The 22,748-nt window shown below is 53.7% G+C and overlaps 2 protein-coding genes across 13 annotated transcripts in view, besides 3 other annotated features; one reads left to right on the top strand and one right to left on the bottom strand.

Moving 5' to 3' along the window:
* Positions 1 to 651: 651 nt before the first annotated feature.
* THAP3 (THAP domain containing 3) lies at positions 652 to 11,379 on the top strand. 11 transcript variants are annotated; one of them, NM_001195753.2, is made up of 6 exons: positions 652 to 738; positions 934 to 1,076; positions 4,283 to 4,475; positions 6,072 to 6,137; positions 8,175 to 8,279; positions 8,580 to 9,346. In NM_001195753.2, exons 2-6 carry the CDS (start codon positions 1,003 to 1,005, stop codon positions 8,859 to 8,861), a joined length of 720 nt encoding a protein of 239 aa, NP_001182682.1. In that variant the 5' UTR covers positions 652 to 738; positions 934 to 1,002; the 3' UTR covers positions 8,862 to 9,346. The 11 variants fall into 11 exon arrangements, with proteins under 11 accessions (NP_001182682.1, XP_047289584.1, NP_001182681.1 ...); XM_047433628.1 differs by having other exon boundaries at positions 8,698 to 9,346; NM_001195752.2 differs by having other exon boundaries at positions 6,075 to 6,137.
* Positions 1,043 to 1,452: a silencer, noted in NCBI's record as "silent region_171". NCBI's record gives its function as "represses an Ori minimal core promoter by ATAC-STARR-seq in GM12878 lymphoblastoid cells {active_cell/tissue: GM12878}" and the evidence as "EXISTENCE:reporter gene assay evidence [ECO:0000049][PMID:35858748]".
* The window catches only part of DNAJC11 (DnaJ heat shock protein family (Hsp40) member C11), a 67,647-nt gene continuing 54,852 nt past the window's right edge, over positions 9,954 to 22,748 (bottom strand). For both annotated transcript variants that reach the window (NM_018198.4, XM_047424842.1), the window contains 9 exons: positions 21,573 to 21,762; positions 20,825 to 20,910; positions 20,342 to 20,458; positions 15,686 to 15,841; positions 14,079 to 14,148; positions 13,231 to 13,288; positions 12,982 to 13,124; positions 11,901 to 12,030; positions 9,954 to 11,484 (listed from right to left, as the gene is read on the bottom strand). In NM_018198.4, coding sequence (NP_060668.2) covers positions 11,459 to 11,484; positions 11,901 to 12,030; positions 12,982 to 13,124; positions 13,231 to 13,288; positions 14,079 to 14,148; positions 15,686 to 15,841; positions 20,342 to 20,458; positions 20,825 to 20,910; positions 21,573 to 21,762 — 976 coding nt within the window. In that variant the 3' untranslated portion in view covers positions 9,954 to 11,458. The remainder of the gene's footprint in view (positions 11,485 to 11,900; positions 12,031 to 12,981; positions 13,125 to 13,230; positions 13,289 to 14,078; positions 14,149 to 15,685; positions 15,842 to 20,341; positions 20,459 to 20,824; positions 20,911 to 21,572; positions 21,763 to 22,748) is intronic.
* Positions 10,507 to 10,646: a silencer, noted in NCBI's record as "silent region_172". NCBI's record gives its function as "represses an Ori minimal core promoter by ATAC-STARR-seq in GM12878 lymphoblastoid cells {active_cell/tissue: GM12878}" and the evidence as "EXISTENCE:reporter gene assay evidence [ECO:0000049][PMID:35858748]".
* Positions 21,897 to 22,396: an enhancer, noted in NCBI's record as "H3K27ac hESC enhancer chr1:6706173-6706672 (GRCh37/hg19 assembly coordinates)". NCBI's record gives its function as "activates a minimal SCP1, AML or CMV promoter by ChIP-STARR-seq in primed H9 embryonic stem cells {active_cell/tissue: H9 hESC(primed)}" and the evidence as "EXISTENCE:reporter gene assay evidence [ECO:0000049][PMID:30033119]".

A 22,748-nucleotide genomic window follows, 5' to 3' on the forward strand; every position in this document is an offset into this window, starting at 1 on the left:
TTCATCAGATTGAGGATTAGCTCAAGCCCCAGTGAGTGGTTAGCCTACTTTTGATTTTTTTTTTGTTTTTGAGACTTGAGTTTCGTTCTTGTCACCTAGGCTGTGAAGTGCTGTGATGAGATTTTGGCTCATTGTAACTTCCACCTCCCGGGTTCAAGAGATTCTCCTGCTTCAGCCTTCCGAGTAGCTGGAATTACAGGTGCCCGCCACCATGTGCGGCTAATTTTTGTATTTTTAGTAGAGATGGGGTTTCACCATGTCGGTCAGGCTGGCCTTGAACTCCTGATCTCAGGTGATCCGCCTGCCTCGGCCTCCCAAAGTGCTGGGATTACAGGCGTGAGCCACTGCGCCTGGCCGATTTTTTTTTTTTTCTTCTTACAAGATGACGCCTTCCCTATAGGCTGCTTTGAGAAAGCTGCAGCCTCGGAGTTTCTGCAAGGCCTGAACTGGAATCTCCCTCCCCTTCAGTTGCCCTTTTTGCCTCTTCACGTTTGGGGGTTCCCTGTGACCAAACTTAAGGGCAGTGAGCTGTCTGGCCTCTGAACTGACACCACCAGTGGCCAACTAGTACCACCTCCAGTGACGTCAGAGGAGTCCAGACCTATTCACAATTCAAAGCCCTAAAAACACTGAGGGGTTGGCCGTTGGTTTCCAGTTGTCCAAGCCTGTGAGTGGCTATGCGTCCTGGTTGGGTGCTCAAAGCAAGGAGGTGAAAGGCGACCAGCATTGGCGAATGGGGTAAGACTTGCACAGGCCCAAGGCTAGGAGTTGGGGTTTCGGGCCTGAATTGGGGCCCGGAGCACCCCTTTACGTGGCGCCCCGGGTCCCGTCCGACCCTGGGGAGACGCGGGTGGCTGGGATGGCAGGATGAGCGCGCCCTGGAGGCGAGCCAGGCCCGTCACCACCTCCCAGCGGCCCCGCCCCTCCCCGCAGGTCCCTCCCCTCTCCGCAGGCCCCGCCGCCGCCGCCATCTTTGTTGGGGGCAGCCAGGCCTGGCTCGAGATGCCGAAGTCGTGCGCGGCCCGGCAGTGCTGCAACCGCTACAGCAGCCGCAGGAAGCAGCTCACCTTCCACCGGTAAGAGGCGGGGACCCGGGGGCGCGGGAGGCCCAGACCCGGGGCCCGCGGACCGACTCCGAGGCCTTGGCGCGCCGGGCGGGAGGCCCAAAGGCGTGCGGCCGCTGGGCCCGGGGACAGGCCGAGGTCCTGGGCCCAGAGGGGCTGGCGCCGCCGCGCCCGCCGCGGGGATGCGGGGAGTGGCGGACGGAGGGGCAGCGGCGCACCTGGCGGGGCCAGGGCCGGGACGTGCAGGGAGCGGAGCAGGTGTTTGCTGAACAGACTAGCGGGCCGCGGCCGGGGTTTGCTGTGTCCCTGGTCGCTGCAGCCCCCGCCGCGCGCGGTCCTGAAGGGAGCCCGGCACCTGGGCAGTGCAGTGGAGGAGTGGAACCCCCAGGGGCGTCCTGGCAGTGGGAAGGGACTCTGCAGGGTCGCGGGAGGACGCTGGAGACTTTGGAGTCTGCTCCAGCACTCGCCCGGCCCGGCCCGGCCCGGCCCAGGAGCAATCGTCATTAGTCACAGTTGCGCTTTCTCCAAGGTCCAGTCACGGCACCATTTCTCTACCCACTTTTGGGCACATTCCGAAGGGGGGCTTGTGCTCATCGTTCCCATTCCCTCTGCTCCCATTGTTCTGTTTTGTGATAAATGCTTTGCTTGAAGTATACGTAATGTACATGCAGAAAAATGCACGAATCATAAGTATACAGCCCAGCGAGTTTTCCCCAAGTGAACGTCACTGAACTGAAACGTTACCAGCTGGGCGCGGTGGCTCAAGCCTGTCATCCCAGCACTTTGGGAGGCCGAGGCGGGAGGATCGCTTGAGCCTGGGAGTTCGAGACCTGCCTGGGCAACAGAAGGAGACCCTACCTCTACAAATAATTTAAAAAAATTAGCCAGGCAAGGTGGTGTGCCCCTGTAGTCCCAGCTGCTCGGGAGACTGAAGTAGGAGGATCGCTTGAACCCAGCTTCGAGGCTGCAGTGAGCTATAATCTTGCCACTGCACTCCAGCCTGGGTGACAGAGCGATACCTCATCTCAAAATAAGAAATAAAACATCACTACCCCCGAGAAGAACCCCTACCTGGACCCCCTCCCAGGCCCTCCTCCTCTCTCCTGCCCAAAGGGAACCCTATCCTGCCCGCTATCAGAGTGGATTGCAGTTCATTCGCTTTCGTTGCCACATAATATTCCATTGAATGCAAGTGCCAGAATTTACTGATTTGTTCTACAATTGAAGGGCATTTGGGTGGCCCCATTTTTTGGATGACAAATACATGGTTCTGGAGGCTGGGCGTGGTGGCTCACGCCTGTAATCCCAGCACTTTGGGAGGCCGAGCTGGGTGGATCACCTGAGGTCAGGAGTTGGAGACCAGCCTGACCAACATGGTGAAACCCCGTCTCTACTTCTCTACTACAAATACAAAAATTACCCGGGCGTGGTAGCGCGCACCTGAAATCCCAGCTACTCAGGAGGCTAAGGCAGGAGAATCACTTGACCCTGGGAGGCAGAGCTTGCAGTGAACCGAGATCGCACCACTACACTCCATCTTGGGCAACAGAGCGAGACTCCGTCTCAAAAAACAAAACAAAACAAACATTGTTTTGGCCAGTTTTGGTGGGACTTGTGTTGCAGTGCATCTATCTGTTTTGCCTCTGTCAGGTATGTACTTGGGGATGGAGTTGCTGCGCCTTCTCTCTTGAAGTCGTTTCCTCCACTCCCACGAGAGCTCTGTCACATCACTAGTGAGCCTTGTGACACTGATCGATTGCATAGCATTTCACACAACTGACCCCTGAGCCTGGGTCACTTTTCCCGCATGGCGTCTGGTACACTTCTTGGCCACAGGTGTCTCTTCTCAGTCTCCTTTGCTGGATCCTCCTTATTTCCAGCACTAAGTGTTGGAGCCCTGGGGTGTGGGCCATGGCCCAGGGGTGGCTTCTAGCCACACTTGCTCCCCAGGGGCCCATCTCACCCAGGCTTATCGGTTCCGCAGGGTTGGCCGCCACACTGACATCTCCAGATGCGTGTGGCCGCCTGTCACCCCAGCACATGGAGAGCCTAAAAAGCACCTCAAATTTAACTCCTGACATAAAAAACAAACTTCTTTTTTTGGAGACAGACTCTCACTCTGTTGCCCAGGTGGAGTGCAGTGGCGCAGTCTCGGCTCACTGCAGCCTCTGCCTCCCTGGTTCAGGTGATTCTTGTGCCTCAGCCTCCCAAGTAGCTGGGATCACAGGAGTGCGCCACCACGCTGGGCTAATTTTTGCATCTTTAGTAGAGATGGGGTTTCACCATGTTGGCCAGGCTGGTCTTGAACTCCTGAGTTGAGGCAGTCTGTCTGCCTTGGCCTCCCAAAGTGCTGGGATTACAGGCGTGAGCCACCATGCTCAGCTGCTACAAAACAAACTTCTGATCCCCTTAACCTGCCGTCCTGTAACTTAATTTTATCTCCAACATGAAACTCCTTCCTTCTCAATTTTACCATCTACAGGCAAACCTTACTGCATGGCTTTCAAAATACATCCAAGTCTGCCCTCTCATTACCACTTCCTGCCAATGCCTGGTCCCACAGCAGCCAGGGTGGACCCAGGTTCCATCTCACCTCTGTCTAGAGCCTCCAGGGACTCCCCAGCTGCTCAGGGCCCTGCGTCATGCAGTCCCCACTCCCTCTCGCTGTCTCAGCTGGACCTGCGTGAGTGGCCGTTCCTGCTGTCCCTTCTGAAGCCTGCGTCGCTTGTGCTGCCACTTCCTGCGGTCTGTGCTCAAACATCACCCCTTCAGCTGCCTCTCCTCACCACCCCAGGGCTTCCCTCTGTCTGTTCTCTGGAGCAGCTGTCATCCCCAGAAGACACCGTCCACATCTGTGTGGCTCATCACTGTGCCCCCGCTCCAGAATATCAGCTCTTGGGGGCCAGGACTGTCTCATTACCCCCCATCCCTAGCACGAAGAACAGGGCCCGGCTCCTGGTAGGCTCCTGGCAAATGTAGCATCGGAAGCAGCTCACTTGGGCTCTCTGGCCATGCTCGTGGTCTCGGGTTTCCTATTAAGAGTGCTTTAACAGCTGTGACAGAAGCTTCCAGAAATTAGATGTGATTTAATAAACCGAGAGGACTGAATGTCCACAGCTGTCCAGGGAAGTACTCTGTAGTGATGTGAAAATTCCGAATGACTCTGAGGCGCTGGGTCCAGCCTTGCTGGGCCTCACACCCCGTGCCTCTGCCCTTAGGTTTCCGTTCAGCCGCCCGGAGCTGCTGAAGGAATGGGTGCTGAACATCGGCCGGGGCAACTTCAAGCCCAAGCAGCACACGGTCATCTGCTCCGAGCACTTCCGGCCAGAGTGCTTCAGCGCCTTTGGAAACCGCAAGAACCTAAAGCACAATGCCGTGCCCACGGTGTTCGCCTTTCAGGACCCCACACAGGTAGGAGGGCACTGCACCTTCCGTCTGGTCACATCCAGCCTGCGTTGTTTACCAGCAGCTGGGGGCAGTGGGGGTGGCGGCATGTGTGGGAAAAGCCAAGGCCAAGAACTCCAGTGACAACAGCACTGTCACGCCTCTGGGGTCCACAGCCCTGTGGCCCTGCTGGCCATGACCTCGGCTTTAAGAGAAGTCATAAATTAAAGGCATTTTAAAAATGAATTATTCTATGGCTGGGTGCGGTGGCTCACGTCTGTAATCCCAGCACTTTGGGAGGCAGAGGTGGGTGGATCACCTGAGGTCAGGAATTCGATACCAGCCCAGCCAACATGTTGAAACCCCATTTCTACTAAAAATACAAAAATCAGCTGGGTGTGTTGGTGGGCACCTGTAATCCCAGCTACTTGGGAGGCTGAAGCAGGAGAATCTCTTGAACCGGGAGGCAGAGGTTGCAGTGAGCCAAGCTTGCCTTGGTGGAGGTGGGATGTGTGGGCCTGGCTCAGGAGAGGGCTCACAAAGAGTTGGATGCTGAAGCCTTGAGATCGCATGATAGGCCACAGGGGCACCCACGTGGAGTGGGCAGGCAGGGCAGTGGCGGGACAAGCCACAGGCCAGCAGCTCCCTGCATTGGTGGATTTATGGGGAGAGGAAAGGGATCCGTGAGTGGAGAGTGGAGCCGATGGGAAGAACAAAGCGGCCACGTAGCAAACACGCCCAGAGCGGCCGCCTGGGAGCCCCTGCCCCATCTGTCCTCCCCAGCACCCTTCCCAGATAGCCTCATGCAGTCTGCCTGAACCTCTTCAGGTTGGCAGTCCCTTCCTTCAGGAAGCCCTTCTGGACCCTCAAACCCCCTCTTGCCTCCGACCCCTTCCTGCCCCTCAGTCTTCCTGGCCCCTGTGGCCCCTGCTGTCCTTCCTGTTTCCCTCATTGGTTTTGTCTTCTCCCCTGGAACAGAATCTCCATGAGGGCAGGGGCTGCCTTCCCTGCTTCAGGCCCCACACCCAGGACGCTGCCTGGCACAGCCCAGGTGCTCGGGGTATGTGTCCATAGATGAACACTTTAATCACCTTCACGTATTTGTGATAACGTTTGTCCTGGAAAGATGACACTTGAGCCACTGGGAGTGGGGACGTTTGTCACTGTAGCCCTCGGTGCTTCCAGTGCCTGGTTGGTGGGGAGAAGCTGGGTACGGCCTCTGCCAGCTCTGCTTTGTGGGCCCCACCCCAGTGTGGCCCAGGGGCTGCAGGTTCTGGGTCAGTGGCACCTCGAGTGGTGAGCTGCGCTTCTGCTGCTTGCTGGCGGTCATGGGGCCAGGTGCCAGGCCCTGGGGTGACACATAGGAAGTAGATGGGTCCCTAGCTCTACAGGGACCTATTCAGGGCACTCTGACCATGATTTGAGGACATCTTTGGAGAAAGAGAAGCGCACCAAGCGGGCAGTGTGAGTTGGGCTGAGCTTCAGGTCAGTTTCATTTAGCAGCTGTTCGTTGACTGGGGCATGCAGTGGGCCGAGCAGCGGGGACAAGCATGATGCCCGAGGCCTGCCCCGAGCTCTGAGGGTTCTTGGGGTCTGCATCCACTCTGTGTGTGTCTCTTGTAGCAGGTGAGGGAGAACACAGACCCTGCCAGTGAGAGAGGAAATGCCAGCTCTTCTCAGAAAGAAAAGGTGAGTGCACCGGGCCAGGTACTTGAATGTTTAAATTATGCTGTGGGTTGAGACAGGGAGGTGGGATTTTCCCAGCAAGGCCGGCCCGCAGGGCTGTCGCCTTTCCTCATATGCCAGTTTGGATTCCCGGTTTTTCTGGAGGGAAGGCCCAAGCCTCTCAGCTTCCTTCTTTTCAATATCAAAGAATCTCAGTTGCTAGTAGGGATCGTGCCTGATTCCCTTTTTCTTTTCTTTTTTTTGAGACTGAGTCTCGCTCTGTCACCCAGTCTGGAGTGCAGTGGCATGATCTCGGCGCACTGCAACCTCTTCCAGGTTCAAGTGATTCTCTTGCCTCAGCCTCCCGAGTAGCTGGGATTACAGATGCCCGCTACCACGCCCGGCTAATTTTTGTGTTTTGAAATAGAGACGGGGTTTTACCACGTTGGCCAGGCTGGTCTCGAACTCCTGACCTCAGGTGATCCACCCACCTCTGCCTCACAAAGTGCTGGGATTATAGGTGTGAGCCACCGCGCCTGGGCCCCCACTTTTTTTTTTTTGTAGAGATAGCATCTTGCTATTTTACTCAGGCTGGTCTCAAACTACCGGGCTCAAGCCATCCTCCCACCTCAGTCTCCCAAAGTGCTGGGAGTATAGATGTGAGTCACTGCACCCAACCTTTTTCTTTGTTTTTGAGACAGGGTCTCACTCTGTTGCTCAGGCTCTGTACAGTGGTGCAGTCATGGCTCGCAGCAGCCTCAACCTCCCAGGATCAAGCCATCCTCCCACCTGAGCCTCCCAAGTGGCTGGGACCACAAGCATGTGCTACCATGCCCAGCTAATTAAAAATTTTTTTTTTTTTTTTTTTTAGAAATGGGGGTCTTGCTATCTTGCCCAGTCTGGTCTCAAACTCTTGGATTCAGGGGATTCTCCTGCCTTGGCCCCACAAAGTGCTGGAATTATAGGCGGGAGCCACCGCACCTGGCCGTGCCTGATTTCTTAAAGTTCAGTTCCAGGGCCGGGCGAGGTGGCTCACGCTTATAATCCCAGCAGTTTGGGAGGCTGAGGCGGGTGGATGTCTTGAGGCTAGGAGTTTGAGACCAGCCTGGCCAACATAGTAAAAACCCCATCTCTACTAAAAATATAAAAATTAGCCGGGCTGGGCGCAGTGGCTTGCGTCTGTATTCCCAGCACTTTGGGAGGCCGAGGCAGGCGGATCACCTGAGGTTAGGAGTTCGAAACCAGCCTGGCCAACATGGTGAAACTCCATCTCTACTAAAAATACAAAAATTCGGCTGGGCCTGGTGGCTCACACCTGTAATCCTAGCACTTTGGCAGGCTGCGGCAGGTGGATTGCCTGAGGTCAGGAGTTCGAGACCAGCCTGGCGAAACCCCGTCTCTACTAAAAATACAAAAATTTAGCTGGGCATGGTGGTGGATGCCTATAATCCCAGCTACTCTGGAGGAGAATCACTTGAACCCAGGGGGCGGAGGTTGCAGTGAGCTGAGATCGCACCACTTCACTCCAGCCTGGGTGAAAGAGTGAAACTCCATCTCAAGAAAAAAAAAAATTAGCCAGGTGTAGTGGCATGTGCCTGTAGTCCCAGCTACTCAGGAGGCTGAGGCAGAATTGGTTGAACCCGGGAGGCAGAGGTTGCAGTGAGCCGAGATCATGCCACTGCACTCCAGCCTGGGTGACAGAGTTAGATTCCGTCTCAAAAAAAAAAAAAAAAAAATTTAGCCAGGCGTGGTGGCACATGCTTGTAATTCTAGCTACTCAGGAGGCTGAGGCACGAGAATCACCTGAACCCTGGGGGTGGAGGTTGCAGTGAGCCGAGATTGCACCACTGCACTCCAGCCTAAGTGACAGAGCGAGACTGTCTCAAAAAAAAAAAAAAGTTCAGTTCCAGGGTGTGTGCTAGGGAGAAGCTGGCTGTGGAGGGGCACAGACCCTGGAGCTGGTCCCTGGCTGTTGCCACTCCCCTAGAGGGACAAGTAGCAGCTGCAGGAGGGCCCTGCATGTGCAGGGCTGTAGTGCAGACTTCACCCTGCCGTTCCCAGGTCCTCCCTGAGGCGGGGGCCGGAGAGGACAGTCCTGGGAGAAACATGGACACTGCACTTGAAGAGCTTCAGTTGCCCCCAAATGCCGAAGGCCACGTAAAACAGGTAAGACTGAGTGCAAAGGTGGTCTGTGGTTGGACACAAGATGACTTGCTCCAAACAAAATGGAAACCAGTGAGCACCCACCATGAGACCTGTGTGGCCGAGGCAGGGTGTGCAGCCTGGGTTTCAGAGCTCCCCAGTCAAATTCTCCACCATGGTGTGGGCACATCTGGATTTTGGGGGAGCAGCCCGGAGTGTCTAGCTGCCCTGGGGTTGTGCTGTGTGCGTGTCTGGTGGCCTGCTCACCATGGCCCGCCTTCCTGCTGGTGATGCAGCTCTAGGCTCTCACTCCCCTGTCCTCAGGTCTCGCCACGGAGGCCGCAAGCAACAGAGGCTGTTGGCCGGCCGACTGGCCCTGCAGGCCTGAGAAGGACCCCCAACAAGCAGCCATCTGATCACAGCTATGCCCTTTTGGACTTAGATTCCCTGAAGAAAAAACTCTTCCTCACTCTGAAGGAAAATGAAAAGCTCCGGAAGCGCTTGCAGGCCCAGAGGCTGGTGATGCGAAGGATGTCCAGCCGCCTCCGTGCTTGCAAAGGGCACCAGGGACTCCAGGCCAGACTTGGGCCAGAGCAGCAGAGCTGAGCCCCACAGGCTCCGGACGCAGAGGTGGCAGTGGCACCAGGGCCGGCAGAGCTTTGGAGCTCTGGCTGTGGACATTTTTGTCTGCTGTGGACACTGAGAAAGTTGGCCATGAGGCCTGCTTGGCCGGGGATCGAGACAGTAGCCAAGCTCCCCGGCGAGAGCCCCAATGCCGTCTGGGGGACGTTTAGAGGCGTGGCACTAGGAGTGCACATCTGTGAGCATGACAAGCTTATCCTCCCATGGTAACAGAAGTCCAGGCTGAGGCTGATTCTGGACGCTGTCCTTTCAGCACACGCAGAGCAAAGATCGTTGGAAGCCCCAGTGTGGGAGATGCTCCTCAGGGAGGAAGCCATGTGAGGGGGCTGGCTCTGTGGCGGGTGAGTGGTCCCCTCCTCCATCAGCCTGGACAGCCGCTCGGGGTTCTAAGGAGTGACTCCTGTCCCGGCCTGGTGTGAGTGGGCAGTGTAATAAAGTGTCTTTCTATACGGTGTCGCTCCCATCATCATTTTCTCTAGTGCCGTGATTCCTTCTAAGAAGACTGACTTCCGTGGCCGGGCGCAGTGGCTCATGCCTGTAATCCCAGCACTTTGAGAGGCCGAGGTGGGGAGATCACTTGAGGTCAGGAGTTCAAGACCAGCCTGGCCAACATGGTGAAATCCCATGTCTACTAAAAAAGACACAAATTAGCCAGGCGTGGTGGCACACACCTGTAGTCCCAGCTACCTGGGAGGCTGAGACAGGAGGATCAGCTGAACCCGGGAGGTGGAGGTTGCAGTGAGCCGAGATCACACCACTGCCCTCTAGTATTGTCACTGGGTGACAGAGCGAGACTCAGTCTGAAAAAAAAAACTGACTTCCTATTTTGTCTAATTTATAGCTTTAGTGAATTAAAGAAAAAAGTTCTAGCCTGATTTCCTAACTTGGGGTCTATTTATTTCTCAGGCAATGTTGTTTAATGTAGAAAATGGAACCCCAGCTTCACGTGAAGCCTTGTGGTTGAGTGAGGAGTGAAGGATGGGGAGGAGGCCTCTGGGGAAGGGGTTCCCTCCCTCCTGAAGATGAACACACAATACACGGAAGAGCGCCAGCCTCTGCTTTCAGGAAAGGTTTATTGTGGTGAGTGCCTTCTGTACAGTCGACTGCAAATGAAACGCAGAGGATGGGTGCCCAGAAGCACCTGCGGCAGAGGCGCACGGGAAGCCCGGGGCCCAGGCTCATGCAACACGACGCTCACCGCGGCTCGGGCCGTGGGGCCGTCAGAGAAACCTTTTTAAAAAATGGAGATGAATGTTACAGAATTGGACAACCCGAACTGCTTTTCAAAACCAGAGGAAGGAGGTTCTTAGCCGTTACTCAGATACCAGTGCTGGGGAGGGAGGCCTGACTTCAGCAACAGCTGTGGGTGGGCTGGAGGCCGGCGCAGCTTGGGGCCCCCCGCGCCAGCTGTCTCAGCCACCACCTGTGCGGCGCTTGCTCCGAGGGGTCAGCAAGAGCAACTGATGGCTGCCACTTCCAGGCCCCGAGAGACAGGCCTCACGTAACTTTACTGCAGCCGAGGTCCAGGCCGTGGAGGGGGTCCTAGCTCCGCTGCATTCTGCATCCCAAGTGGGCACGTGGAGGAAGGGTCTGAAGGAAGGCTCCGGAGCACAGGCCCTGGTGTTCCTGTGAGGACGCTGGACCTGCAGGAGCGGGGAGCTGCAGTGCCACCTGCTGGGTACCACGGGCCGGGCCTGGGGTCCACGCCTTTGGGTTGGGTGTGTCTGATGTCTTGCCAAGCGCCTGGTCCTGTCCTCTTGAGCTGCCCTTGCCCAGCACTGCACTCTGGAGGTGGGTGGTGCAGGCGGTGGAGGGACACAGGCCAGCTCAAGCCCGCTGGTGGCAGGGCGTTTTCCCACCGGGATACGGGAAGCCACCTGTGTCAGGGCTAGGCCCTGGGATCGGGAGTTACACTACCCTGTCCCAAGCCGAGGGGGCCGGTGGAATGACTTGAGCAGCTCTGGGAGTGGGGAAAAAAGACGACTAATTTCCAAACCCGTTTGTTCTCAGATAAAAAGCAGTTTTATAAACCCGCAATCTGCTCCAGATTCAAGCAGTAATATTTCAGCAAGAGGAGGTGGTCATGGGAAGCCAGCACAGCAGAGGCTCCCTGACCGGGAGGCCTGCCTGCTTTTCAGGTTGTTTCCCATGTTCAGCGTGGACTGCAGAAGTGGCTCACGCTCCTGTGGTGAGGGCAGGGTGCTCCACAGACACCTCCAGACCCAGCCAAGAACTACAGGGCGGCGGGCTGCGGTCAGCACGTGTGCTCGGGACACAGCGGAGTCAGGGCCAGAGCCCTTCCCTCCAGGAACTGATCCTTGGGAAAACAGCCATGGGCCAGGCTGCAGTCTGGTTCCCAGTGGGGCTGCCTCAGTCCTACCCCCAGCACCCTCAAAAGCTGGGGTGTCTGCATGTCCCTTCACATAATTGATAATGGTACCACCTTCTATAATAATAATATAAAATAAAAACATCTGATGTCTGGGTTTTTTCATTTCCAAATTTGTAGACTCCCAGGAAAAGATTTTTTGCGGCCTTTTAAAAATCTGGTTCTTGGCAGTTTATCCATCTGTATCGATCCTGTGGGCTGTAAAGGAAAAGACAGACGCAGGTGATCAGAAGGTGGCCATTCCCATGCACCTTTCTACTGATGGGGCTCAGCAGTCACCCGGACCAGCAGCTGGCTGGGCCCAGGCGAGGCAGAGCACCCGCTGCTGAAAATCAACTGCTGCTGGAACGTAGAGGTCTGCTTTCATCCCCCGCCACTCAAGCCGCAGTTTCCAACGCGCTCACTCTAATTCTACCTGTGAAAGGGCCCCAGCCCCCCTTTTAGGGCACAAATCATGGGCTCTGAGTGAATCATGGGTCAAGGGCTAGTTGGCGTCTCTGCTCCCAGGTGGGCAGCTGAGGAAGGTGGAAGGTGGCTGGCAGCCCACACACTGAGCAGCCGCTTCGAGGTCCCCGCCCCCGTTAGCTGGTGACTGCGAAGGGACGGCTACTCACACTGCTTTGGTATCCGGAGGGCCTCACTGTCCAGCACCATCACCTGATGCAGGACGCCCCGGAACTGATAGAGCACTTTCAGGTTCTTCTCTTCCCCCACACACGGGTCATAAAAGCCAGGCAGCCCAGCCTGTAACAAACAAATTGCTACTCTCAATACTCCAGACGGTCTAAGACCAGCACTCCTCCTCACTACCACCGGAGGGGCAGTGTGCACAGGCTCTGACATTCCCTGGGGAGATGCAAACTTTGGGGCATGAAGAAAAAGAAACAAGAATTTGAAAAAGTTGCCAAGACTCGCTTCTTAATAAAGGCCCTATCCTCACACTAAGACAGGGCCACCAGATGACTTCTAGGGTGCCAGGAACTCTCTGGCCTGAGCTAACCTGCATTTTCATCCTTCTGTATGGTCCATGCCCCAGGCCCCAGAGGCAAGACTCACACATGTTACAAGTGACCTCATGATCTTTCTGGAATGAGGCAAAAATAAACAGAATCAAATGCCATGAAGGCAGGCGTGTGTTCTGTTTGCTGGTGTGACTGGCACACACCAGGGGCTCAGTAAATCCTTACTGAGTGGTGAAAGAAATGACTGAATGAAGAGAATAGCTCCAACGTGGGTACTACTCAGGAGCTGGGCAGCATCCCACACAGTAGATGCTGATGACGGCAAAGATCCCACTTTAAGGGGCCAGGCTGTCCTTGTCAGACTGAACCTATTCTTCACACCACTGTTTGTTTGTTTGTTTTGAGACAGGGTCTTGCTCTGTCACCCAGGCTGGAGTGCAGTGGCACAATCACAGCTCACTGTAGCCTCAACCTCCTGGGCTCAACCAATCCTTCCGCTTCAGCCTCCCGAACAGCTGGGACAACAGGTGTGTGTCACCATGCCCAGCTGATTTTTTCTCTTTTTTGTAGAGATAGGGTTTTGCCATGTTGCCTAGGCTGATCTTGAACTCCTGGGCTCAAGCAATCCGCCCACCTTGGCCTTCCAAAGTGCTAGGATTATAGGCCTGAGTCACCGCGCCCAGCCTGTTCAAATCTGTGAGCACATAGCATGTGGTGGCTGGTGCTGCTGTACCTTGGAGGCCTCCGTGAGGATGAGCTTCGAGTCCTTCACCAGGCACTGCAGGGGCACAGTCACGTCAATCACCTTCACCTTCTCGCTCTTCCTGCTCTTGTCATTGACAAACTTCCCGTACCAGGCATTGACGATGATGAGGCCTAAGGACAGACTCCGAGTAGAGGAAGGCCTCCTCCAGGCACCTCCTTGTGTGGCTTAGAGACCCCCAGCGCCCACCCTGGACCAAGAGAGGACACATGTTCTCACCCATTCTGGACTCTTCTGCCTCAATTATCCTTCGGACAGATTCCTGCATCAGCCGGACCTGCCAGAGAACAAGGATGACACAGTCAGGGCCCTGCCAGGCCTGTTCCACCTCTGGTGAGAGGGCCACAGGCAGGCAGTCTTGTCCACGTCAACATACTTGCTCAGGGCCTGGAAAGGAAGGGAGTGGGCACCCTGACAGCTCTGCTACCCGAGTGGCTCACTCTGAAACTCCTAGACCTAGGGCAGGCAGCTCTGGGTCAGAAGGTGAGAAGCACCTGAAACGGCATGACCCTCCGGTGGCCACCGGTGGGAGCTCCCTTTCTAGGGATCATTAATGCGTGGGTGGGATTTGTTGACCCAATAAAAAAACAATGCGTTGTCAGCTTTAAAAATAAAGAGATTTCACAGGAGAAGCTGGAATCCCAGCTCCTCTTGAGAAAGGACCTGTGTTCTCCTGTGGTGCCATTCTGCTGGGCATAGCTGTGCCGCCCCCTCAGACAGGCATGTGCTCGCCAGGCCGCGCACACGGCCCATGGCCACCTGGCAGTATGCTCGCCACATACCCAGGAAGCCTGCTCCCTCCTGCTCAGTAAAAGGCAGAACACTCAGAGGGAAGAAAAAGAGGCCAATACTCACCACTTTAAAAAAGCCCTTGTTAGGCCTTTGGAGGGTAATTATCTTCAGGGCAGGGACTGCAGAGCCCAGTGTCGCATCCCACAATAAAGACTAAGTGGAGAGCCAAGTTGTTGGAGAAGAGAAGTCTGACCTCTAAGGCCCTGAGACCAACATGTGGGGTGTGGAGTGTGTCCCCTACAGCCCTCGCTTGGGAACGGTGGGGCAGCACTCACAGCGGACTCCGCCTCTTGCTTCTTCTGCAGCACATCGGTGGCGGCGCTTTCCCTCTGCTTCTCCAATTCCCTTACGCGAGAGGAACACAAGCCCCACGTTAGCGCGGCGCTGCCCAGCTTCCAGCCAACACAGCCCCTCCCGTGCTGGACCCGAGCCCAGCAAACAGTCTGTGATCTTACTGGAGTTCAGTTGTAGAACTTTAAAAAATATTCCCACGACAGTCTCAGGCAAGTCTGTTAGTCACAGGCTGGCAGCTTTCATTTTATCCTTAGATGGCTCTGCCCCACCTCCTCACCAAGCTGACGGGACACCGACTGTCAGTCTCTTTGGAAAGAAGACCCCACCACAGGAGAATTTCAGGAGATCCCACCAACCTTGTGGGATTATTATTTTTTTAATTTTAATTTTAAGATAGAGATGGGGGTCTCACTATATTGCCCAGGCTAGTCTCGAACTCCTGGGCTCAAGTGATCCTACTGTCTCGGCCTCCCGAAGTGCTAGGGTTACAGGCGTGAGTTGTTAAATAACACTTTTGGTAGGAACAACTAATACCACTTTAGACACACAGATCCGCTTTCCTGTAACAAAGTATGGGCCTTGGGGTCAGCATATGCCTGTCCTCCCTTCTGAGAGAAGGCTGGGCCAGCACATGTCTTGTTCTAAGCCTCAAGCCTCCTAGGGAATTAGGATTCTGAGTCCAAAGGCCAGACGGGCCCAGAAGAGGAGATTCATTCCTTTATCTGAGATTCTCTAAGTGCAATGCTTTACTAAATGAGATATTATAAAGTAACAAATCTATACCAGCTCTCAGTTTTCTGTAGAGATGCTTGCACTAATAATTTAGGTTTCACGGCATGCCCCAATGGATTATCTAAGAAACTGCAAAAACGTTGTGTTTCTGTGACTTTCAAGACTCTAGTTAACGCAGGCCCCTCACATACGGATCCAGAACGCATTCCTCTTAAACTCAGCGCTGGGAAAGGAGAAAGGAAAACTTCTTCTTTCTTGAGGCCATGGTTTAGAGGATCAACACTTTTTTTTTTTTTTTTTTTGAGACCGAGTCTTGCTCTGTCACCCAGGCTGGAGTGCAATGGCGCAATCTAGGCTCACTGCAACATCCACCTCCCAGGTTCAAGCAATTCTCCTGTCTCAGCCTCCCAGGTAGCTGGGATTACAGGCACGTGCCACCACGCCCGGCTAATTTTTCTATTTTTTTAGTAGAGACAGGGTTTCACCATGTTGGCCAGACTGGTCCTGAACGCCTCACCTCGGGTAATCCACCTGCCTCAGCCTTCCAAAGTGCTGGGAATACAGGCGTGAGCCACCACGCCCAGCCGAGGCCCAACACTTCTATAAACTCCAGTCCTTTCTGAGAGTAAGATTTACAAACGAAGAGATAACAGCAGTCCAACTACGGACAATGAGGAGAAATAGTTAACATTTACCAATCGTGACCCAGACATCAGCCTAAGTGCTTTACATGCATTACTTAATTCAGGTTTCCTCATCACCCGACGCAGGAGGCTCTGTTATCCTCTCCATTTTAAGGGTGAGGAAACTGAGGCACAGGGCTGGCTAGTGACATGCCCATGACGTGTCAACTCACTTCTCTTTCTGAGCCCTGAGGTATGGTTTGATGATCAGACGGTGCATGGCAAAGTAGACCACTAGAGGCCCCACGGTGGCATAGAACATGGCGCTGGGCAGAAGCTGGTCCGTCAAGTGAATAGGGAAGAAGTATGTCTGACTGGCCCTGTTGAGCCTGGGGAAAAATACAAAAAAAAAAAAAAAAAAGCCAAGATGAATCAGGTTTTCCAGGGAAGGGCAATGGGGTGTCAGGCACAGGAAGAGAACTTGTGCTGCGTGCAGCTGCGAGTTAAAGGAGCCTGCAGTCTGCTCCTTTCACAGTCCACCACCTTCTGGCCTCCCGTTCCAAAGTCTGGCTGATGGATCTGACACTGTGACAGAAGAAAGATCCCAGTGTCTGCTGACCTCAAGCCAAAGCAACAAGAGGAACACTTCACGGGGTCAACGTCCCCTACAGGTGCATTCAGTCATAGGCTGGAGAGGACAGGAATGGGCTCCTCCAGATGTCACTGGAGAGTCACATCTCAGTTCTTAACTGAGGTTTCCAAAGAAGTTAGTGAAGACTTCAAAAGTTAGTCAGTTAAGGAGGTTCTGCTTCCAGTGGTGGCTGAGTAAAGTAGCTCCTATTGGACCAATGTGTAAACTCTGGACCACATATAAAAAATTTGGCCAGGCGTGGTGGCTCACGCCTGTAATCCCAGTACTTTGGGAGGCTGAGGTGGGCGAATCACCTGAGGTCAGGAATTTGAGACCAGCCTGGCCAACATGGTGAAACTTCATCTCTACCAAAAATACAAAAATTAGCCGGGCGTGGTGGTACCTGTCTGTAGTCCCAGCTACTCGGGAGGCTGAGTGAGGCGGGAGAACGCTTCAACCCAGGAGGCAGATTGTACCACAGCACTCCAGCCTGGTCAACAAGAGGAAAAGGACTGAGGATGCATGGACAGAATCTCAGAAACCCGTGGAAGAGTGTTAAGTTTAATATATTGGTAATTAGAGCCCCAGTGAGGAAAAGGAAATTTACAGATGCAAGAAGTTTAGGAAACCCCAAGCATCATAAATACAACAACAGCCTTATCTATGTACATCACAAACTGCTGAAAAGCCAGAAAAAGAAAACATGCTGAGTAGCCACTGACAATACCTGATCACACTCTTCCAGAATAAAAGCTCTTCCAGAATAAAAGCAATTCCAGAATTGATAAAGAACACTCAAAACTTGGCCAGGCTCAGTGGCTCACGCCTGTAATCCTAGCATTTTGGGAGGCTGAGGCAGGAGGATCGCTTGAGGTCAGGAGTTTGAGACCAGCCTGGCCAACATGGTGAAACCCTGTCTCTACTTAAAATACAAAAATTAGCTGGGTGTGGTGGTGGGCGCCTGTAATCCCAGCTACTCAGGAGGCTGAGGTAGGAGAATTGCTTGAACCTGGGAGGTGGAGGTTGCAGTGAGCCAAATGCACTCCAGTCTGGGGTGCAAGAGCGAAACTCCGTCTCCAAAAAAAAAAAAAATATATATATATATATACACACACACACACACACACACACACAAACAGAGACAGGTTAAATGTGAATGGGTAAAAAAAATAAATAGTAAGCATAAGAAGACTAAAAAAGCTATATAGTAACAGATAAGGTAGACTTCAAGACAAAAATTTTTTTTTTTTTTTGAAGTGACAGGGTCTCACTCTGTCATCTAGGCTGAGGGGCACAATCACAGCTCACTACCACCTTGAGCTCCTGGGCTCAAGTGATCTTCCTGTCTTGGCCTCCCAAAGTGTGCGCGCCACTGTACTGAGCCTTCAAATATTATCTGAGGAGAGATGGCTGACGCCAGCTCTAATCTAGGTAAGTGATTTGGCTTTGTTTCCAAAACTGAGCTGTGATCCACTTTGATTCACTCACTGAGTTCCTCTCAAGTACCACGATGGGTTTTAGGTTCTAGAAGTGCGGGTGAGAATAAAATGGACCAAGTCCAAGAGCTTATGTCTGATGAGGAGTGCAGGAGATGGCCCTTCAGATGGAGACTGGCTCGTTGGAGATTGAACATGGCAAACATGGTGGGGGGGATCACCTGGGGCAAGGGGAAGGGCTACTATGTTATACAAGGTGAATTAGGGGACATTTGAGCAGACAGCAGATACTTACAGGGAGTGAAGGAAATGGCCACGTATTTATCTGCAGACTGAGAAATAGCAAAGGCCACCTCATAAGCAGGAGGGGGCCTGGTGTGTGCCAGGAATAGCTCCAGGGGGTCAGGATGGCTGGGGTTGGGGTAGAGAGGAGTACTACATCACGGAGGGCATTGTAGGCTCCAAAGTCTCTGAAGGGCTTTGGCCTCCGACTGGAATTGAGGGAACCTCTGAGGTTTTAGGCAGAAGACAGACGTGAACTGCCTTCAATTTTAAAAAGGACTCTCCTACGGAAAGCAGACACACAAGGAGGGAGACAGGTTCCGTGGGGAGGGTGCTGTGTAACTAAGACAAAGATGCTGGCCGCAGTGAGGTTGAGAAATGGCGAGACTGGGGATACAATTTTGGAGTACATGTTCAGGAGATGATTTTGAGATATGTATGATTTGGAGTGTGGGAGAGAAAGAGATCGAGGCTGACTCCAAGGTTTTTGGACAGAGCAAGTAGAAGGCCAGAGCTCTCATTTACTGAGATAGGAAAGGAGGCTGGGCGCTGTGGCTCACACCTGTAATCCTAACACTTTAGGAGGCCGAAGCGGGAGAACTACTTGAAGCCAGGAGTTCAAAACCAACCTGGGCAACCAAGTGAGACCCTGTCTCTATAAAAATAAAATAAAAAAAGAGAGAGAGATGGGAAAGACTTCGGGCAGAGCAGGTTCTGAAGGTTCTTCGTTTCTGGGGGCACAGGGAGGGATCGAGTTCTGTTTGGATACGTGACATCTGAGATGCTGTTAGGTATCCAAGTAGAGATTAGGAAGAGAAAGCTGGACAAATATATGAGCTGGAGATTGAGGGGGTGGTCCAAGCTGGCACTTGCAACGTGAGTCCTCAGGGCATGAGAGCCATGAGGCTGGACATGACTGCTTGGGAGTGAGTCGAGAGAGAAGGGCTGTGCCCTGCAGTGGTGCCTCCATTTAGGGGTTTGGGAGACAGCAGCCATCTGGTACGGAAAGCCAGAGCAGGGCGTGGTATCCTGGAAACTCAGGGCAGAGAGGCTGTAAGGGCAGGAGGGAACGGCCACCGCGACAGCAGGTGCAGAGACCAAATGAGATGAAGAAGAATCACCCTCTGATCTGCCACAGGAGGGAGGGTGCCCCACTGATGAGGTGAGAAAGGCTGATTCTGGAGAGGGCTGGTTTTGCTGGAGAGGCCTGACTGGAGCACGTTTAGAAAGAAAGAAGACGGATGCAAGCGAAAACAGACATTTTTTTTTTTTTTTTTGAGTGGAGTCTCGCTCTGATGCCCAGGCTGGAGTGCAGTGGCGCCATCTCGACTCACTGCAAGCTCTGCCTCCCGGGTTCACACCATTCTCCTGCCTCAGCCTCCCAAGTAGCAGAGACTACAGGCGCCCGCCACCACGCCCGGTTAATTTTTTGTATTTTTAGTAGAGACGGGGTTTCACCGTGTTAGCCAGGATGGTCTCAATCTCCTGACCTCGTGATCTGCCCGCCTTGGCCTCCCAAAGTGCTGGGATTACAGGTGTGAGCCACAGTGCCCGGCCAAAACCAGACAACTCTTTTGAGGAACTAAGGAGAGGACAGTGACTAGACTCAGGTGGAGCAAGGGTATGTGTGCCAATGGAAACCCCTGGTGAGAGGGATGAACCGATATGGCAGCTGCTACTGGAGATGCTGTGCCCGGGGGATAGCTGCCAGGCCAGTGACTCCAGGAGGACTGGGCTGCTAGGATGCATCCTGTGACATCAGGCGAGGCTGCTGGAGCTCAGACGTACACCTCACTCACTCGGTGTTGGAACTATGCACTGCTTGACATTTGCTTACTCAGCAAAGACACAAGCAACTGTATTTTTTTTTTGAGATGGAGTCTCACTCTGTCACCCGGGCTGGAGTGCAATGGAGCGATCCTGGCTCACTGCAAGCTCCGCCTCCTGGGTTCAAGCGATTCTCCTGCCTCAGCCTCCCGAGTACCTGGGACTACAGGCACCCGCCACCACCCCTGGCTAATTTTTTGTATTTTTAGTAGAGATGGGGTTTCACCATGTTAGCCAGGATGGTCTCGATCTCCTGACCTCGTGATCCACGGCACCTGGCTGAATTTTTTTTTTTATATTTTTTGAGACGGAGTCTCACTGTCCTCCAGGCTGGAGTGCAGTGGCACGATCTCCATCTCAGCTCACTGCAACCTCCGCCTTCGGGTTCAAGCAATTCTCCTGCCTCGGCCTCCCAAATAGCTGGGATTATAGGCGTGTGCCACCACGTCTGGCTAATTTTTGTATTTTCAGTAGAGATGGGGTTTCACCACGTTGGCCAGGCTGGTCTCAAACTCCTGACCTCAGGCGATCCGGCCGCCTTGGCCTCCTAAAGTGCTGGGATTACAGGCATAAGCCACTGCACCTAGCCAAGCAACTGTGTCTTTAAGAACAAAATTACAATGCAAAGGCTATTTCAGCCTTAACTTGGGTAAAGCCTGGTTGAGTGAAGGTGACAGGCATTCCTTGACCCGAAAGGCCTAAGTTCAACTTACTTGACTTTGAGAGAAACACCCTGTGGAACTCCAACGCTGACAGCTGCACCCAAAACGCTGTGCCTGGAGATCTTCCTCTCAGCTCCGTACTCCACCACCGTCCCAAAGAAGCCTGCTCTGCAGGGAGAGAACGCGGTCTGTGCCTGTGCCCCTCATTCATCACTTCAGGGGCAGCTGTCATTTGAGAAGAGGCCAGGTACCTTCCCTTCCCTCCCTCCAGCCTCCTCGACCCCCAGGGAGCAGATTCATGACAGAAGAAAGTTGGGACACCCATGGTCTAGTTCTTCCACAACACTCTCTAAGCTCCTCAAGGGCTGGGACTGTAGTGTTAAATCCCCCACAGCCTCAAAATAGGAAGCTCTCCAAAAATGTCACACACACGTAGATATTCACACGAGCAAGGTGTCTTACACCAACTGGTTCCACTGTGAAGACCCGCATGCAGTACCAGTGTGCTTCCATTTTAGCCAGGCCAGGACTTACTTGAGGGATCCTTTCACACGAGTCTGATCGTCATCTTGGAATTTGTGCTGATAGCTGATCAGTGCAAAGGAGTGAGGGATTCCCAGCTGGGGAGACAGAGGGTGCAAGGATGCGTGGCTAGGGCGTGTGACTCTGTGGGGAGATGGGTATCTGCCCTCCCACTAGCTCTGGGCATCTGCTGCACACAGGCCTTTAAGGCAGGGGTCACGGTCTGGCAGCCGCAGTGAGTGCACCATGATTTATTAGCAGCCAGTAATTAAAAAGTGGGAGACTTCACTGAAAACCCAGTTTTCTAGCTTCTCACAAGAAATAAAAAACTCTGGTGACACTGAGCCTATGCTCCTAGGTGGCAGCGGCTGGTGAGAGCCAAGGAGCAGTGGCCCGTGTGGGGCTTCTCATGTACCAGCCCTGGTGTGGCCACAGGGGCGTCCGAGGGCATGATTCTGCTATGGGGCTTCATCTGCCCGCCCCCAATTCCGTGGGTGGCTCCCACCAGACATTAAGATGTTGTTCTGCTTTAAGATGATCCAACAAAGCTGCCCCAGGCGCCTGAAGGCAACTGCATTTCATACTCGAAGGTTCCACCAGGTCACTCGAGTGTGAGCACCGAGAGCCTGCCCCTCAGGGCCCTGTATGGGCTTAGACTTAGTGGTGATCAGGACGCAGGATTTAAGGGGAGCACTGAGTGCTTGGGAGGAGGGGTCCTCCCAGAGCTCTGTCTGCAGGAGATGATGGCTGCTCGGCTCACCTGCAGGGCCACAGTGAAGTGGCTGGTTTTAGTGTCTCGGACGATGCTAGTGTTCATGGCTGACTGGATACCCCATCGCCACTGCAGGTAGCCCACGGTGTTCTTGTCTAGGTTCCGAGCTAGGACAGTGGTCAGGCCGGGTCGGATTCCACGGGATGAAAACTGCAGAGCACAGTTTGTTGTCACAAAGCTGGAGAGACACAGAGACAGAATAGGTCCTGGATAGCACCTGCTCTCAGCTGTTCTGTTACTTCCTCTCTGCCTGGCTAAGACCTCACTTACTGTCACGTCTATGCATCCCTGGGCCAGCTCCCAGTAAAAAAAAAAGCAGGAGGTCAGGCCTCTATCCACACAGAGGGGGAGGGTCCTAGCCAGAATCTTCCTAGTAACCTCCCGACTCCCCTCAGCCGCCCTAACTTTAGCTACAACCAAATAGGCACCTGACTGTCTGCATTCCTATGCCAGCAGATGCAACCCCACTCAAGTTAGAATGGATGGGGGCCGAGGAGTGCAAGTCAGAATCACCAACGGAGGGTCTCATATTAAGCAGTCCAAGACAGTGGTGCTCATACTGCACGCTGGAATCACCTGGCTCATCCACAAATCACGGCTGGTGGCTTCTTCGCCGGCATGCTGATTCCTTCAGTGTGGGCTTGGAGTGCTAAGTGTCCCAATGATTCCAATGTGCAGTAGAGTTTGAGAATCACTTACCTAGAGGACACCCCAGACCTATGGAACCAGAATTTCTGGGTGGAGGCATCAGTATATTTTTGGAGCTGCTGTGTGATTTCTGATGTACTAGTGACCACAGCTGGGTACTAGTGACAGAAACTACAGGCAAAGCGAGCACAGGAAACCGGTTCCCGAAAAGAGCCTCTGCAGTTTCTTTCCAAGGGAGTCCAGCCCCATCTTCTGGTTGAAAAGAGGTATTTCATTTTACTAACAGAAATTCACACTTCATTCAAGGTGCTGAAGGGTAAACTAACAGCTGGTTTCTTTAATAAAGAGCTCCACATCAATTGCCTAAGTTTCTTTCTCTCCTTTCTAAGCTCTGGAGGTGATGTTTATGCCATTAAAATAACAGTAGGCAGGCTCATTGGCTCACACCTGTAACCCCAGCACTTTGGGAGGCTGAGGAGGCAAATTGCTTCACCCCAGGAGTTCAAGGACAGCCTG

This window comes from Homo sapiens, chromosome 1, assembly GCF_000001405.40.
Source record: "Homo sapiens chromosome 1, GRCh38.p14 Primary Assembly".
Classification (NCBI taxonomy): Eukaryota; Metazoa; Chordata; class Mammalia; order Primates; family Hominidae; genus Homo; species Homo sapiens.

Coding starts and splice junctions, on each gene's coding strand:
- THAP3 (NM_001394496.1), top strand. CDS start 1,003: ATGCCGAAGTCGTGCGCGGCCCGGCAGTGCTGCAACCGCTACAGCAGC. Junction 1,077..4,282: donor AAGCAGCTCACCTTCCACCG/GTAAGAGGCGGG, acceptor CTCTGCCCTTAG/GTTTCCGTTCAGCCGCCCGG. Junction 4,476..6,071: donor CCTTTCAGGACCCCACACAG/GTAGGAGGGCAC, acceptor TGTCTCTTGTAG/CAGGTGAGGGAGAACACAGA.